Source organism: Homo sapiens, chromosome 1, assembly GCF_000001405.40.
Source record: "Homo sapiens chromosome 1, GRCh38.p14 Primary Assembly".
NCBI lineage: Eukaryota > Metazoa > Chordata > Mammalia > Primates > Hominidae > Homo > Homo sapiens.
The window spans coordinates 234,689,756-234,708,265 of NC_000001.11; the positions used below are offsets into that span (position 1 = coordinate 234,689,756).

The following is an 18,510-nucleotide window of genomic DNA, read 5'->3' on the forward strand; positions in this document are numbered from 1 at the left end:
TACCCTACTATCTGATGTAGCCTTTCCACTAGTAGGTATTTATCCCATAGAAATAAAATCTATGTCTGCACAAAGATTTATATAAAAATGTTCTTAGCAGCTTTATTTGTAGTAACCCCAAACTGGAAACGACCCAAATGTTCATCGATGGCTAAACAATTGTGACATAGTCATACAATAGCATACCACTTGACAATTAAAGGTATTGATACAGACAACATGTTGAATCTCAAAATAATTATGCTGAGTAAAAGCAGTCAGACACAAAGAGTACATACTAAATAATGCCATTTGTATGAATTTCTCAAAAATTCCAACATAAAGTAAATCAGAGGTCGCCTGGGGATATAGTATGGAGGAGGAGCAGGAGGTTAAAAAAGGCACAAGGACATTTTAGATTACAATAGATATGTTTGCTACATTGATTATGCTTTTGTGACTGTACAGTATCACCAAACTTTACAAAGTGTGCCATTTAAACATATGCAGTTTATTGAATATAAGCTGTTTAAGGATCCTAAAGAGAGAGAGAAAAGAGAATAATGATGGCAATTAATTCAACCTCATCAAATATATAAAAATTTATGGGCTGGGCGCAGTGGCTCATGCCTGTAATCCCAGCACTTTGGGAGGCTGAGGTGGGCAGGTCACGAGGTCAAGAGATCGAGACCATCCTGGCCAATATGGTGAAACCCTGTCTCTACTAAAACTACAAAAATCAGCTGGGCGTGGTGGTGTGCACCTGTAGTCCCAGCTACTTGGGAGGCTGAGGCAGGAGAATTGCTTGAACCCAGGATGCGGAAGTTGCAGTGAGCAGAGATCACACCACTGCACTCTAGCCTGGTGACAGAGCAAGACTCTGTCTCAAAAAAAAAAAAAAGTATATAATGATGAGAAAAACATATTGGTCTCCACTAGAAATCATTACTGGTAACTTTTATCACTATTCTGAAAATTGATATGGAAGAAGGAATGTCAAGTCTTGATAGTGATTTTGTTTGTTTTGTAAGTTACATTTTGAAGAATCCCAGCTAATGTGTATAGAAGGAACCACAGAATTAGAAAATCATTTTGCAAACCTTGATAAATCCGGGCAGTGATTATCCAAAGATACTGAAACCACTAGGTAAAAAGTAGATGGTGACTTCTTTTGTAATGATGGAATAAGGTCAGACACCACCTGGACCCCTTGACCAATCTCAGAATTACTAAAGAGACAACCACACATGATGTGCCTCCCTCCTAAATGTGGTGCAGTAGGAAGTAGACAGAATGACCTATGAAGTATTCTTTCAAAAAAATGGAACCTAAATCTGTATTTCATCATTTGATTTAGGGACATAGAGGAATCAGTTAAGCAACTAAATCTTAGGACACTCGTCTTAACTCACAAGACACTGATGCTGCTATATTAATTTATATTGCTTAGACCTGCTCGGATGTTTTTAAATAAATGGAATATTCATGTATTTTCTTTTGGGGAAAGCTTCTTTGTGCCTTTTCTGGAAACTGGGTATGTATAAAAGTCTCAGGCTTCAGAATGTTACTCAGTGAGTATTAAACCAGGGAACAGAGAGTGGGTGTTCGTGAGAGTATTTGACCTTGGATGCAACAGAGGTTTGTGAATTAATTTTACTTCACTCCAGAGAACTCCATTTGAACGCTGGACTATCCAGAAGAGCCGTACCCTTAAATTATGTTTCGCATTTGTATATACCCTTAAAATATGTATATGTCTATGTATTCTTAACTTACATAAATGTTAGATATTTATTTAGTATATATATTTTTATTGACAACAAGTAAAACAATTTACTGAAGGCCTACTCTGTATCAAGCACTTTTGTAGCTACTAGAGACATGATCATCTTGTGCACGTGTTTTGAATTTATATAAATGACACTCTACTATATATCTCAATCCATGTCTTACTGTCATCAGCCAACAGTATCTTATTCAGATTTCTCCATGCTGAGTGTACATCTGTTTTATTATTCTGACTACTGCATACTATTCATCAAACGCTCATATCAACCCTCCTTGTGGTAGAAACTTATATTGCCTCCAACTCATCACTACCACCAATAATACTGCAATAAACATATCCTTGGGCCTAGTCTGTTATAATCAGAGTTTGTCCAAGTTATATGCCCAGGTATGGGATTGCTAAATACCGCCAGATTGCTCTCTGGAGTGTCTACACTCATTTAGACTTCTAGAAACGTTTCATGGAAGGCTAGTTCCACAATCCTCAACAACAATTCACATTATTCAATTTAGTATTTTTCCTCCAATCTGACAGACACAAGATGCTGTCTCACTGTTGTCTTAATTGCTATTTCTTTGGTGATAAGTATTACCTTATATTTGGATTGCATCTTCATAGCCACTGCCCACTTTTCTGTTCCATCGCCTATATTTTTTTCTTTTTTTTTTTTTTTCTTTTTTGAGACAGAGTCTCACTCTGTCACCCAGGCTGAAGTGCAGTGGCATGATCTCAGCTCACTGCAGCCTCCATCTCTCAAGTTCAAGCGATTCTCCTGCCTCAGCCTCCCACGTAGCTGGGCTTACAGGCACCCACCACGCCCGGCTAATTTTTGTATTTTTAGTAGAGACGGGGTCTCACCATGTTGGCCAGGCTGGTCTCAAACTCCTGACCTCAAATGATCCACCTACCTCAGTCTCCCCAAGTGCTGGGATTACAGACGTGAGCCGCCATGCCCGGCTTATTTTTTTCTTTTAAATATATCAGATCTCCCCCAAGTTAATACGATCAATGCAATTCCAGTTCGAAGCCTAGCAAGAGTCTGCTTTGTGTGTTGGAGATGTTCCATGCATCGCAATTCCCCACCTCAGAGGGGAAGCTCCTGGAGCTCAGGGCTGCTATTGCTCTTGAAGCTCCCACAGCACTCTCCCCAGAGCCTCACTTAGAGCAGGCCTCAGTGAATGCTTATTGATGGGATCTGTGTGAGTCAAGAGGCAGCAGGAAGAGGATGCTGCTGGTAAGCTGGTCCCTTTGAAAATGCAGAATCCAGGCACGGTGGCAGAGCTGGATGGCCAAGAGTAGGGACCTGTAACACCTGAGGCATTGTTGATGGGAACACTTTAGAAAATGTTCTTTCCTGAGGGACCAGGACAAATGCCCTTTGAAATCCTATTTCTAAAAATAAAAATGAAAGGAACAGAAACAACAACAAAAAAAACTATACATTTTTTAGCTAGAAATATTCCACCTAAGAGCTTCTTTTTTCCATAGCACTGAGAGCTCATGCCAAGTGCCGTCCTGAAGCTTCCATGAACTGTAGCCAGTGACTGCCTTAGACAATCTTACATTGAGTCCTGTTCTAGATGCCAAGAATGATAATATCATTCCCTGGAAACAGCAGGCCGCTTGGAGAGTATTGGGAAGAGGCTGTCCTTGCTCAGCACCTGTCACCCAGATTGCGTGCTAACTTCTCTGGAGCTCCATCTTTATTCTACATGTTGATTAGATGCACTCAGCATAATAAATTGCAGAAGGCTTCAAAGTTTCTGTAGCTAAGTACTGCTCAGAGACAGTGACTCTGTCAGTGCTGAATGAAGACACTGGATCTTGCTTAGCTACCATGCCATGCTGAATGTCTTGGACCTGGTTCCTTTTAGCAGAAGGCTGATTAAACCCACATAGTGCTGAGATCATAGGAATGACTGTAAATGGCAATTATCTGCTTGAGGGTATGTCTTGTTTTCTCAGATAGACTGCAAGCTGCCTGAGGACATAAACCACAGATTATTCCTCCGTTTTTCTAGAAGAGAGCTATGCTCATAATTCAGCACTTAATAATTATTTGTTACAATTACTAATGAGTGCATTAATTAGAATGAATAATCAACGCTTGATGTTCAATGATCCCAGAATACATCAGTATGCCTGCTAGCCCAAGAGCCTGTATATAATACCAGAGTTTAGGTAAATAATGTATATAATACCTACCTAAACTCTGGTTTAGGTATTACAAACTCATTGAACATCAAACCTTGATTATTCATTCTAATTAATTCACTCACTAACAACTGTATATTAGTAATTATATATATTATACTGATGTATTTTGGGATGATTGAACCAATAAGGAGCAATAAGATTTTGTTGATATAAAGAGAAAAGCAAGTGGAGGAAGAGAAAAGGAGTTAAAACTGCAAAGGTATGAATGACCCCAAATTAGTATGGACTGGTTGGGTGCACATCCTGCTGGGTTACTCAGTACTCTTGGTTGTCCTCAGTATTGAAGGATTTGGTCAACGTTTCTGCCAAGCCCAATTTCTCTTTCTAGCTTAACTTGCTCTAGGTACAGCCCTGGATAATCAGGCCCTGAAGCCTAGGGTTTATTAGTCTGGGGATGGGTAAGAGATCCAACCAGCTGGCCAGGCGCGGTGGCTCACGCCTGTAATCCCAGCAGTTTGGGAGGCCGAGGCAGGCAGATCATGAGGTCAAGAGATCGAGACCATCCTGGCCACATGGTGAAACCCCATTTCTACTAAAAATACAAAAGTTAGCTGGGCATGGTGGCGTGCGCCTGTAGTCCCAGCTACTTGGGAGGCTGAGACAGGAGAATCACTTGAACCTGGGAGGCAGAGGTTGCAGTGAGCCGAGATCGTGCCACTGCACTCCAACCTGGTGACAGAGTGAGACTCTGTCTCAAAAAAAAGAGATCCAACCAGCCAATCTATCAACTAGCTAGCAATCACAGTCCTCTCCTGGGTTTCGAGTGAAGAGACACAAGGAGAGGGAATAAGCAGCAGCCCTGAGGATAAGAGCTGAGTCACATGGATAGTAGCACGCTAGTAGAAAGACTGGTGAACTCTTGTGGCTTTAACTTCTGTCCCCCCTCACTCCTGATGTTCAGCTTTTCTTGAGTTTCTGCAAAACCACTTTAAACCTTAAAAATGCATACCTTTACATGTTTCCCTTATTCTTTTAAAAATTCCAGGCTGCTTTGAACAAGCTTCTGATCTCTGCCACCAAATGAGCTCTATGTCTAAAGCACTCCTCTCAATGACAATTTCATAGCTTGGGCTTTGATGGGTAACCTGCAGCCCCACTGGCCGCTCCAGCAGATGGTGACCCTGTGGGTGGTAGAGAGGCTTGAAGGATCTAGTGCATCTCAGCTGAAAGTGGCTTGTCTCAAACAGATGTGAGAAGGCCCAGTGTTGAAGGGATTCAGGATCAGGGCAACCTGCTGTCCTCCAGTGGTGCAGCCGCTTGGCCTCTACTGATTTCACTGACCTAAGTGATCATACACAGTGGCCTCTGCCCCTGTGATAGCAATCAATCCAGCCAACCAGATGCACCTGCAGCAGAGCCATAGAATTCCAAACTAGAATAGACTTCAGAACTCCCTTAGTTTGTGGATCAGCTCTACAGCTTCTCTTACGAATGATCATCCCATCCTTTCTTAAATGTGACAGGGCAGCCAATATCAAGATACCCTCACAGAAAGTATGTGGCCCCTAATTTTAATCCAAAGTCTTCCTCCCTCTAAATTCTACCCTTTGATGCTAGTTCTGGACCCTTCAGATATACACAAACATAAAACTCTTTAAAGAATTTAGTCAGTCTACACATTTGGACAAAAGACTCACATCTCCTTTAAAGCTTCCTCTTTCCAGGTGAAATACGCCTAGACCCTCCAGCCATTCCTTCTGCAGCATAATTTTGAATCTCTTCATCATCATAGTCACTTTTTATCAGGCCTGAGTTGGGCTCTGAGTTGACTCTGGGTTTTTCTTCAAACATGTCAGCCATGTGCCCTTGGATGGCATCTGATCAGGGGGAGTAGAGCAGGCCTCTCACCTCCTTTTCCCCTATGCAGGTGACTGCATTCACCTCCGGGGCAATTCCTCTCTTTTAACTGCAGTTGTGTTTGAGCCCACCTTTCCAGTCAGTGGCAGAAGGCTGGCCTGGAGTGACAGCCAGGTTCTGACCTGCCTGTGCCATCCTGGGGCACCAGAGTGGCCAGTAGTGCCTTAGCCACCCTTACAGAGAGTCAGCCCTTGTCAGCTCCACAAGGGATAGTCCCACTCTTACCACAGGCATGGGCCGGAGCCAGGCCCTGATCTCAGCTGGACCAAGGAGACCCCTGCCCTGGTCAGTTAGCTGTGAGGGGCCTCACTGGAAGGCCATTGAGACATGGAAGCTGACCTTGCCTTTTGGGTTGGTCATGAGAGACCAGCGAAGCCTCGTGTTAGTCCATTCTCACACTGCTCTAAAGAAATACCCGAGACTGGGTAATTTATAAAGGAAAGAGGTTTCATTGACTCACAGTTCAGCATGGCTGGGAAGGCCTCAGGAAACTGACAATCATGGCAGAAGGTGAAGAGGAAGCAGACACCTTCTTCACAAGGCAGCAGGACAGAGTGAATGGCGAAAGGGGAAGAGCCCTTTATAAAATCATCAGATCTCGTGAGAACTCACTCACTATCACGAGAACAGCACACTGCCCCCACGATCCAATCACCTCCTACCAGTTTCTGCCCTTGACACGTGGCGATCGTAGGATTACAATTCGAGATGAGATTTGGGTGGGGAACAGAGCCAAACCATATCACCTCATATCCACTGCAGATATGAAGAAGGCTCCCGGAAGCAAAGAAAAGAATCTGCAAGGCCCCACAGAGATAGAAACAGAGAAATTAACCAGCGACTTTTCACTTCCCGAAAGTCCCCACTAACCCTCTTTCAACTGGTTTCCATGAGGTTTCTCTGAAATAAATCCCCTTTTAAATTTAAGACTCTTTGTATGAATGTTGGTTCTGAACAAATAGTCCCTTGACTAAGCCCCTAAGCAAGTCTGTGAACCTTAGTTTTCCTTCTGGATACACTGAATTGAAGTATGGTGGGCTCCTCCCACTCTGCGATTCTATGTCACATCATCCCATGCTACACTTCTGTACTTGGGAGGGCTTTGAGAATAAAAGCCTAAGGGTATAACTTTATACAGAGCCCCTGGTAAATTTCAGCTTGTGTTTTGGTTAATCTTCCAAAACATCTCACATTTTGGAATATGTCTGGGGCTTTGATTAGCAAAAAGTAAATGAAAGAACAATTGAGAGTAGTGGCTTCACACATCTTCTCAGAAACCTATCAAAGGGTTGTCTCTCACATCAGATGAATTGTCCCGGAATTCTATTTATAGATGGCTTAGCAATTCATTCATTCCTCAATTTCACCAGAGGTTAGCTATAGACTGAGGGGGTGCTTTTCTAACTTCAACTGAAATATACATGAGTGGTAGGTACAAAGGTTTTGGTTGGTTACCTGAGAACCAGACACCCACATCTTGAAGGACCATGGAAGTGGACTCTGGTATGAACCCATTGTGAAAGGTCAGATACACCACACAAAGAACTGGTGAAACTCAGATTAGTCAATTTGCCATTTGTTAGCAACACAGGCATAAAGAGTTGGTGGGAAAGGATGTAGGAATTTTGGCTAAAAGAAGCTTTTGGCTTATCTTCAGATTCCAATTATGCAAGGCTATCCCCGTTCCTCATTACCACAGATAAATTAAACATCAGCTTAGAGTTCAACTTGGCAACTTGGAGAAAACAAAGAATATATCTTTGAGGCAAAATGTGGGCTGTATCTATTTGTAGTTCATATGTGCTCCAAAAAGACAGGCAAGCAGAAAGCAAGACTGCCTCTCCCAACTACAGCATTAAATAGCAAAGGCAATGGGAATGTGGGGTATTTCTTGGACACACCATGCTCTGTGGGAAACAGACACTTCTGAAGATACTGTTCAGAGAGGCTTAAGGAAAAGACAAAAAGCGGAAAAAGAAGGAGGAGGCACATGCATTCAGGTCACCTGCAGTTACCATCCACAGACAGCTTTTTGCAGTTGGTTCATCCTGGGTAACTGTCATCTCATGTGAATGAACCGTTGACGTCCATGTCCTTGTGTGTGGTCTTTGACATTAGCCAGAACAACTCCAAATCCCACGTCTGGAATATAGACACCCCTCAGCCCGTTAAGCCCCGCACTCCGCCACCCCATTCTATTAGCTTTCGTTTGACTTCATTTTCTTCCCTTCCCAGTCACTCTATTCTTTTGCTTCAACTGCTCAGCAAGTCCCATCCCTGGGTGAATCCATCGGTCTGCCTCAGTTTCTTCATTCAGAAAATGGGTATAAGTAGAGCTACCCCATGGGTTGGCATGCTGCTGAAATGAGATATGCATGTTAAGGGCATGGCTCCGGGCCTGCAAGCGGCACCCACTCAGCAAATGGCAGTTCTCTACACCCTATGATCTCTCCCTCTCTACCGTATCTTCCCTCTACTTACAAACAGGTTCTTTCTCCTACTTTTGAAAAATCCTTTAAAGCTACAGAACATCCCTCCTTCTCTTCATCACCAAACATCATGAAAGACTCGTGTGCTCACTGCCTCCTCTTCCCTCAGTGTCCACATTCCCACCACCACTGTGGTCTAATTTCAGCCCCATCATTCCCCTTCTCCACCCCCATCCTGCCTTGCCTCCTGACTCTAGTCTCTCAAATGCAAACCCTCAGTGTGATCCCCTATGCTTTCCTTATTTTTTCTCCCTATATCTAGTAGGTCACTAGATTTGGTCAATCCTGTCCCAGAAACATCACCTGGCTTTGCATTTCCACCATCTTAAAGTCAGTTCCCACCTCCCACACCGTCTCGGATCAGGACCATCATGACTTGTCTCCCTGCTCGGTCTTGGCCTCTCAGATCCATCTTCACACCCAACTCTGCTTAAAACTCTCAGGGGTCCTTCATCATCTCCAGGACAATGTCTGAACCCCTAAGCATGGCACATGGGGTCCCGCCTGTGGCCTCACACTTACCCTGCTGGGGTCCATGCACACATGAGTGCAACGCATGACTTCCACACCAGGCCCCGATCCCCTGCCACCCTCCCTCTAGCTAGACCTCCCTTGCCCTTTCACTTTGGATTACACTCCCTGTCCTCCCATAAGACCCAAATCAAGTATCGTTGCCTTGGTAAAGGCTTTCCCAACCGCCTGCTCAGGGGCCCACAGCACTTTGCTGACACTGTAACTTACCTTCGGGAATGTAGCCTCCTCCACTGCAGTAGGCTGCAGATGGTGGGGATCTTAACCAGGGTGACGGCCTCAGCACTTGGCATGGAGTCAGGCTCATAACAGGTGACCAAATACCACATGCTGTGCAATTAATAAAATGAAGGAAGATGCCGGACGCAGTGGCTCAAGCCTGTAATCCTAGCACTTTTGGAGGCTGAGGTGGGTGAATCACTTGAGGCCAGGAGTTCAAGACCAGCCTGTCCAAAATGGTGAAACCCTGTCTTTACTAAAAATATTTAAAAAATTATCCAGGTGTGGTGGTGCATGCTTGTGATCCCAGCTACTCAGGAGGCTGAGACAGAAAAATCGCTTGAACCCAGGAGGCAGAGGTTGCAGTGAGCCGGGATCGCTCCTCTACACTCCAGCCTAAGTGACAGAGTGAGTGAGACTCTGTCTCAAAAAAAAAAAAAAAAAAGAAAGAAAGAAAGAAAGAAAGAAAGAAAGAAATGGGCCAGGCATGGTGGCTCACTCCTGTAATCCTAGCACTTTGGGAGGACAAGGCAGGCAAATTGCCTGGGCTCAGGAGTTTGAGACCAGCCTGGTCAACACAGTGAAACCCCGTCTCTACTAAAATGCAAAAAAAAAAAAAAAAAAGATTAGCCAGGCATGGTGGCATGCACCTGTATTCCCAGCTATTTGGGAGGCTGAGGCAGGAGAACTGCTTGAACCAGAGAAGCGGAGGTTGCAGTGAGCCAAGATTGCGCCAGTGCACTGCACTCCAGCCTGAGTGACAGAGCGAGACTCCATCTCAAAAAAAAAAAGAGGGAAGAAATGCTTTGAGAACCGCTGAACCCAGAGGAGGCCCCATGCCTGTCCCCACAGTGATACTTCACTATAGACATGAGGGCTAGAGAAAGTCCAGAGGCTGCAAAGAAGGTCTAAGTTTGGTTCAGCTAGTGCTTCTCAGCTCACTGAATTGACAGGCTTCATGGAGAGGAAGACTTTGCCCCACATAGAGGTGAGCCACAAGTGTGCACTTATTGCCATGTCTGTTTAGGGCAGGGCCATACGGAGATAAGCATGTCAAAATAAGCCTTGAGAGTCTAGCTAAGCAAGAACTAGGACAGGTTGGAAGAGGGAGGCACAGGACAGAGAAATAGCCCATTCAGCTTTGCAGACACTCCCCTGGTGGGCTGAGCCCTGTGGCCCTAGTGGGTGGAGGTTTCCCAAGACAAATTCCACGAAGGGACTTTGGAAATCCAGAGGCCTGACCTGAAGGCAAACTGGCAAAGCAGTGCATCGCCAAACAGCAGACCTTGTGGTTTACAGCAAAGACCAAAGGGAAGCTTAGGATTTGGAGACCTTCATGGCAAGAGTAATGAAAATAAAATCTGCTCTGCTCAGAGCAGTTCGGAGAGAAACAGGCCCAGCCACATGGAACCAGAACAGATGGGCTGTACAGGAGGGATGTTCATCAGCACTGCTATGGGGGAGGGAACATGCACAGGCTTGCATGTCCCCGTCAGGGATTCTAGGTGACACTATCAACATGTGACAGCTGACACGGAGGTGGCATCAACAGAGGTTAATGGATGACTCAGAGGCATTATTTATTACTGTTATTTTTGCCCTCCCTCACAGTGGTTTATAGAAAGTGCTTTGTCAAGATTTCCAGACCCAGCCATGTACAAATGACATAAGGCAGATTCTCAGGGGAGCCCCTCTCTGACTCAGGGCTGTGAGCTAGCAGGCAGCAGGGAAGCACAAAGCGTTGACTGAGCAGCACCAAATCAAAATGGCAAATGATACTCTGGCCCCTACCACAGCAAGCAGGCAGCCTAAAGCCCAAGGGACTGGAGAGGATGGGTCAGGATGGGTCCTGTACCCATCTGCCGCAAAGGAGCAAGCATTCTTCAAGGTGACCAAACCTGGATTTGTTTAAAAATATCAGCAAGTCAGGTGCCCTAGTAATGGCAGTACATATAAATTACACTTGGAAACATTTGCCAAAGGACTGATCAATCCCATGATTTATTCAGGGTGATCTATATCAGCAAAGATGGTAGAAATTCCAGGCCATTGCACAGAAAGTTTAACATGTGTGGTAGAACTAGGATCTTTCTCTTACTAAAAGGAACGCTCTAACGAGAGTGATACTGCAGCAGTTTTTTCTTTGGATCTATCTATTTACCTACATATCTATTTATTTATCATCTATCTATTGTTGGAGACAGGGTTGGATTGGGCAAGAAGAAAAGGCATTTGCCTGGATGTGCATCAATAGATAATAACAGAAGCTTTCTAGAACCTCAGAATCTTTCCCTTTATTCATGTATTTGCATGTTCTGTTGTTTCTTTCTTTCTGCTGTGTGTGTGTGTGTGTGTGTGTGTGTTTGTGTGTGTGTGTGTGTGACAGAATCTCCCTCTGTCGCCCAGGCTGGAGTGCATTGGTGTGATCTTGGCTGACTGCAACCTCCGCCTTCCAGGTTCAAGCGATTCTCCTGCCTCAGCCTCCTGAATAGCTGAAATTACAGGCGCCTGCCACCATGCCCAGCTAATTTTAATATTTTTTAGTAGAGACGGGGGTTTGCCATGTTGGTCAGGCTGGTCTCGAACTCCTGACCTCAGGTGATCCACCTACCTCGGCCTCCCAACGTGCTGGGGTTATAGGCGTGACCTACCACGTCTGGCCTCTTTCTGCTTACTTTTGAGGCACAGGTCCTTCTTTTGGATTTAGAAACCCAAAGGGGTGAGTGATCACATTATGACTTGGATTTTTAGTTCCCTGAGTCTGAACTTGCCTACTAATATGCTATCATATGCCCAAATTATTTTTGTGCAAAGTTCATCAAGCTTCTCCAGGAACCAAGGGAACCAGAAGATGGGTTTTGTTATCGCTTACAAGCTGACCCTGGAGAAGGTCACTGAGCCACTGGGGTGTTGCTTGAGCTGTAAGTATCTCTGTGGCAAGCTCCAGAAGTCAGTGATATTCTGAGATGGGCATAAGTATCTTGAGAGGAACAAACCCATGCTGAAGTGGGGTGGGGCTCAGGACGTGCTTTCCCTTGGGCACCATGTTGTTAGACCACTTGTAGTGTGGTTGGCCATGTTTCTTTACACCCGCACAGCCTCATGATAAATAGTCACTGCTAGCAGCTACTCTGCACCATCTGGGGCCTGTAGCAGCTGGAAAAGTGATGAGGTAAGGGTGAGTGGCTAGAAGGGAGAAGGGGCCAGAGGGTGTCCAGGCTGCCAAAACCAATCTGAGACGATCATAAGCATGGCCCAGCTTCTTCTTATGAACTGAGTTTTCCTTCATTATGAGCCAAACCCAAATCGTACCCTTTGCAGAACCTACCTATCTATTTGGGGCATGAACTGCATGCACAGCTGTGCTTGTGATAAACAGGTTAGATCTGGAAGATCTCGGAAGAAAACATAATCTGGGCTGATGCAGTCCAGTGGTTTCTCAGCCAAGGGGGTTGGATAGAGGCAAGGCCAGGAGAAGAGGGAACAAAACTTGAGCTCATCGTACCAAAGGGACACAGCCTTAAGGACAGCAGTATTCCAATCACATGATAGCATTACAGGAAACAGTAAATGGAGAAGCCAATGAGAAGGCCTAGGATACTTCTTTGGAAAAACCTAACAAGGCCCTTGAGCCTCAGCCAGGATTATACAAGGCCCGTTCGCACTTGGCTGAAGACTTGACTCTGGGGAGAACTTATGATCAAACACTCCCTGGATATGTGCTCATAGGAATGATGAACATTTCTGATTCTGGAGCTACTCTGGGGCCAAGCAGAGATCCAAGATCCCTTTGGTCTAAGTAAGCAGAACAGGGGTCCTCCCAACCTCCTGGCCCTCATGTGCAGGGAGGTTGTTGTCAGCTCATGACTTCAAGTTGGCTGCACCAAGCTTCTCATGACAGTCTGGAGAGCTCGTCTCGGTGTTACAGGCAGTAGTCATCGCAGCTGGGTTATGAGAGGGTAACAGAGTCAGGGAAGAATTTAGGGCACTGGGAGGAATTAAAAGATAGGCTTCATCAGAGTCACCAGCGCTTTCCTGCTTTTAGGATATGTAATTACAATGTCTGTATTCAGTTAAAGATCCAGCTTCCTGTACTGACTCAATCCACAATAGCCCTTCCCTCTGGCTGCATTTCTATAGTACATGCATTGCCTTGAATCGTTCCTGAATATTTCCTGTACATACCACACTCTTTTCATTTTATTGTATTTCATTTTATTGACAGAGTCTTGCTCTGCCACCCAGGATTTAGTGCAGTGGCATGATCATAGCTCAGGGCAGCCTCAAACTCCTGGACTCTCATGATCCTCCCATCTCAGCCTCTTGAGTAGCTAGAACTACAGGTGCACATCACTACACCTGGCTAATTTTTTTTCTTATTTTTAGTAGAGGTGGGGTCTCCCTATGTTGCCCAGGCTGGTCTCGGACTCTTGGCTTCTAGAAATTCATGCGCCTTAGCCTCCCAAAGTGTTGGGATTACAGGCATAAGCTCACCGTGCCTGGCCTCTTTTTATTTTAATAATCCTATTATCTCTCTTGCTATGTGCCTGTAATGGAATTTGAAGAGAAGTAAATAATAGTTCTTGTCATAAAGGAGTTTATAGTCCAGTGAAAGAAATGGGTGCATAAATAATAGCATCACTAAGGAAGAGCAGAGACGGAGCCTTGGGGGCTAGATTGGCCAGTGGGGTTCACAGGCGTAGGAACTGGACTAGGATGTTTTTCACCAGAGACCATGGGTGTGATTTTATACCAAAAGCCGGAAGTATAGGACAGATGAGGCATTATTGTGGAAAATCATATAGAAATCTAAAACCAATGAAGCTAAAGTGGCCAGAAATTGGAAATAAAGGGGTGGGGAACAAAGGATAGGAGACCTGGAGCTGGGAACAGTGAAGAGGGGGCTGGAGCTCCTGCCTAAAAGAGCTGGTGTTCACAGCTTTTGGGGGCCACCAGGAAAAAGTATGTGGGTCAGCTGGACTTGAGGGATCAGGGATAGAGTGACAAGAGGAAAGAGATTTAAGGGATGCTTACGAAGCAATTGGATAGCAGGCATGAAAGAGAAGGAGGCACTCAAGATAATCCTGAGGTTCTAGCTGAAGGCTGCCCGGGAGATCATGATGATCACATAAACTGTTACAGAAGCAAGCTTGAGGGGGAAGGGGATGAGTCCATTTGGGTCATGTTTATTAAAGGTTTTCAAGGGACATCCAGGTAGACTCACTGCTTGATAGGTAGTTGGAAATACAGTTTCTGCACCCCTAAGGTTTAAGTCAAGACTGGAAATCTGCCTCTGGGAGTTGTCAGCCAGGGGAAGCAAACGATGTTTGCTCAGAGAAAGTGAAGAGCTGGTCCCAAGACTGAAACTCAGAGATCATCACATCCCAAGAGCAGGCATGAGCACAGGAGCCATCCCGGTGCTGGCAGAAGCTGAGCCGGAACAATGGCGGAACACTGAACCGTAGCAATGTGGAGGATGGGAAAGTAGGGACAGTGAATGCAGCCTTTTTATAAAATGAAGATTGGTGCCAAAGGGAAGGGGTGAAGTGGAGCAGTAGTTTGAGAGGAAGGCAGAGTTGCTGACACATTTTTGAGAATCATCAGGGTCTAGTCATGTTTGCAGGACATGGAAAAGGGGCGCCAGATGAGGAGACAGGATTGAGGGCTGAAGATAGAGCTGCGCTCACAGAGGGCTGGAGGTCTCAAAGGAGGGGCAGGGAGGAGTCAGGTGGCAAGGTAGCCTCTAAAGAGCTTCCACCCTTCTGTCTCTAAGGTGAAAGATGGATAGAAGCTGGGTGAAGTGGTGGAGCTACCAGGCAACAAAACACAACCCTGCTCTTGGGAGTGTGTGTGTGTGTGTGTGTGTGTGTGTGTGTGTACGCGCACATATGCGTGTATGTAATGCAAACCATGCTATCTTGCACTTAGGGGTCAGTCTCTCTACGTGTTTCGACCATGGCCATTTCCTCTCCCTTAGACAGCAATCTCATTGAAGGCACGAACTGTGGCTTCAGCTTCTTTTGTCGTCCCAATAGCACAAAGTGCAAGAATTGAGTGAGTCGTGGATGCACCTGACCCTGATCATCATTGATTGCCTTCTGTCTCTCAGATGACCTAGGTAAGTCTTTAAGAAGCATGGAGTATCAGGACTCATCATCTTTTGAGAGCTGGGCTCTGCCTTTGAAAGTTATTTGTATCATCCTGGCACATCTTGCAAGCATTAATTTAATAGGAAGAAGTTGGGGAGAGAAACCCAACATAGAGTTGAAACCTAACAATAGTCACTTGGTGGAAAGAGAGGATATTTAAAAAAAGCAAAGACAGTTTTCTTTCCTCTAAGTTGCTATCTTCGTTAGAGTCAGATTGAGCTGGAAGGTCCCAAGATAGTAATTTGATACATTTGCTGTTTTAGCTTCCTTCTAGGTCTCTTTATCAGACACAACAGGGCACCCAATACACTCCCCATAAACATGGGATAAAGCAAGCTTGAGAGTCATCACTAACCAAGCAAAGGGCAGCATGGTGTGGGCTTCATTACCAGGTTCAGTAGGCTTTTGCCTATAATCCCAGTTAGATGTTTGACATGGACCTGGTAGGACATTTCCTCTGTGTCACCCCTTGTCCTCAGCTCTGCTCTTCCTGGACACTCACAGCATTTTAAGTTCACCCTCACCATGTTAAGCACTTGATTATAGTTCATTTAGCACTTTCATGGTGCTTCCTATGGCATAGTACAGTTATTGATGCTCACACATATCTTATCTCCTTCTCAAATCAAACCCTAAGTTCATGGAGAGTGAGGTCCATGACTGGTTCATCTTTATATTCCCATTATACTGAACAGATTAGACATTGAATAAATATTTGTTCTTGAATTATTAATGATTCACTGTTTCATGTGTTATTAGACTTCCTTGAACCACAGCTTTCTTATCTATCAGATGAGGAAGCTGAACTAGATTCTACAAAGTCCTCCTCACTGAAACTTGCGAGTATTTTATGATTCTCCTTCCTGTGCTGACTTCACGTACACTAGAGGCTCATTCGTAAGTGTGAAGCAATGTCTTTAGCCCTCTGTTAGGATATAGGCATTTAAAATTTAAAATCTAGATGGGGAGACAGGAATAACTCACATGAAAATAGCCCAAAATATGACAAGTTATGTACACTGAAGTCTGAATTGTGTGATAGACCCTAGAGATGACAGCACAAGAAGAAAACTGATGCCAGATGTGTAAGTTTGGGTGGTAAACCTTCAGGAAGCCTCTGTTATCACTCAAAACACCCTGGAAAGAACATCATTTTAAATGGTATCTAATACAATTTAGCTAATTGGTATTGAGGGAAAAGAAGAGGGAGGAATCAGAGATCTAATTTCTTCCTCAACAGTGAGTAGAAATAGGACTGTTGTGTTTTGTTGGGGGAATGGAAAAGGGTTGACCTGGAGAGAGTCAGGGAATGCAGTTGGGTGTCTTGGAGGTCGTGAATAGCCTGAATTGCAAGAAAATACTGGGCCCTTGTGGGGACACAAAAAGGGCCAGGCATGGGGGAGAAAAGGAGAGTGAGAGGGTACTACTGAGGGCAAACTTCTGCCTGGCTCTGCTAAGGAGAAGCCTCATGGACAAGGCTGGAAAGAGAATGAGGAGTACTGATTTGCAATGTGGAGCAATGAAGCGGGCTAGTGTCTTGTCCATGTAAGATGTGTAAGCACTTTTTTTTTTGAGACAGAATCTCGCTCTGTTGCCCAGACTGGAGTGCAGTGGCGCGATCTCAGCTCACTGCAAGCTCCGCCTCCCAGGTTCACACCATTCTCCTGCCTCAGCCTCCCAAGTAGCTGGGACTACAGGCACTTGCCACCATGCCCAGCTAATTTTTTTTTTTTTGTATTTTTAGTAGAGACGGGGTTTCACCGTGTTAGCCAGGATGGTCTCAATCTTCTGACCTCATGATCTGCCCACCTCAGCCTCCCAAAGTGCTGCAGTTACAGGCGTCAGCTACCGTGCCAGACCAAGATGTGTAAGCACTTTCTGTGCCACAGGTCAATGAAATGAGCATATGGATATAGAAGGGGTAAGGGAGTCCATTTCCCTCCACCAGCAGAGTCAAAGGCTTCTATCCCCTCCTTCCTACATATGCTTCCCAAGAGTGGACTTGAGTAAGCCCCAAGGAAAGCATTTTAGGGTAGGGTGATTATGTGCCCCATGGCTTCCCGGCCCTGGGAATCTGAGTGAGTGTTCACTTCCATGTCAGTTTAATCACATCCAAACCCCTTGTGGAGCTTTAAAAGGGAGATTCAACTGGGGTAACCCCAAGAGGAAGCCCCAAGAGAGCCTATGAGAGGGCAAGAGACTTCTTTATTAGCAGGAGGATCTTCTCTTGGGGCCTTTTTCTCTTCATTATCAGGAAGCACTAGTTTCATTTTTCCCAAACCTGAGAGATTTAAAATAGGAATGCATGAGGCCACTTTCTAGGTTTTGCAGAGCTCAAACCTCAATACTTGTCAACACTGGTAGTGTGAACAGTGGTGCCAGGGACTCAGTTGTTAGCATCATGAGACCTCCTCAGGCCCCTGAGCTAAGCCCACTACCTCAGACCCCCCGCTCTACAATCTGGGTTCTTGGGAGCATTTCTTCCTGGGGTGTGTGTGTTTTAATAGTCCATTTGAAGTGCCCTTTTCATTCCTCGCAATCTCCCCTTGCTGGCAATCATTCCCCAGTAACAGCATAGGAAGGAAGGGCAAAAACCGTGAGGCCATGAGCTCCTTACCGGGGCCCAGGATGCAGGTTTGCAGGAGGCTCAAAACCCTGTTCCAACCCCACAGGGTGGCTCTTGCCCTAGGAAAGGAAAAGACTCAGGGACAGAGGGAAACCCCAGAGGTAAACCAGTAACTTTCCCTTCAGCTCAGTCTGCTCTCTCCTGCTCTGCCTATGGCCAGTGATCATTTCCTTAAGTCACTTGCAACATTAAGGAACTGCCCTTGAATCTTGGCCTAGGGCTTGCATTGGGTTCGGTCCCACTTCAGAGGTTCAGTTTGAAGTGCTCAAGTATTGAAAGCTTCCTCTTTGCAGTTCATTCCAATCATGAGTCAAGTTCTCTTCAATCCTGCAAATATTTAGATTTGGGGCCAGGCCAAAATATATATGTCAAAATCACAAAGGCTAATAGTTTCAATGGACTTGCAGTGCAATGAAGGAAACATGCTCATTAAAATGGCAATACCTAATAATTAATACTTCATTAATTTATTCAACAAATATTCTGCTGCAACACAGGTGGTCTCTGTCTCACAAAGCTCACACTCTAGCTAGGAGGTGGTCATAACTGAAGTCAACAAAGAAAGACAGAGAACAATGACTAAATGCTGTGGTCTGAATTTTTGTGTCCCCCCAAAATTCATATGTTGAAATTCTCACCTGCAAGGTGATGTGT

At 45.0% G+C, this 18,510-nt stretch overlaps 3 annotated features.

Annotated features, from left to right (window-relative positions):
• Nucleotides 10,455–10,704: an enhancer, noted in NCBI's record as "active region_2764". NCBI's record gives its function as "activates an Ori minimal core promoter by ATAC-STARR-seq in GM12878 lymphoblastoid cells {active_cell/tissue: GM12878}" and the evidence as "EXISTENCE:reporter gene assay evidence [ECO:0000049][PMID:35858748]".
• Nucleotides 10,455–10,781: a biological region, named in NCBI's record as "Sharpr-MPRA regulatory region 7312".
• Nucleotides 10,487–10,781: an enhancer, noted in NCBI's record as "tiled region #7312; HepG2 Activating non-DNase unmatched - State 7:EnhWF". NCBI's record gives its function as "activates a minimal TATA promoter and a strong SV40 promoter by Sharpr-MPRA in HepG2 cells {active_cell/tissue: HepG2}" and the evidence as "EXISTENCE:reporter gene assay evidence [ECO:0000049][PMID:27701403]".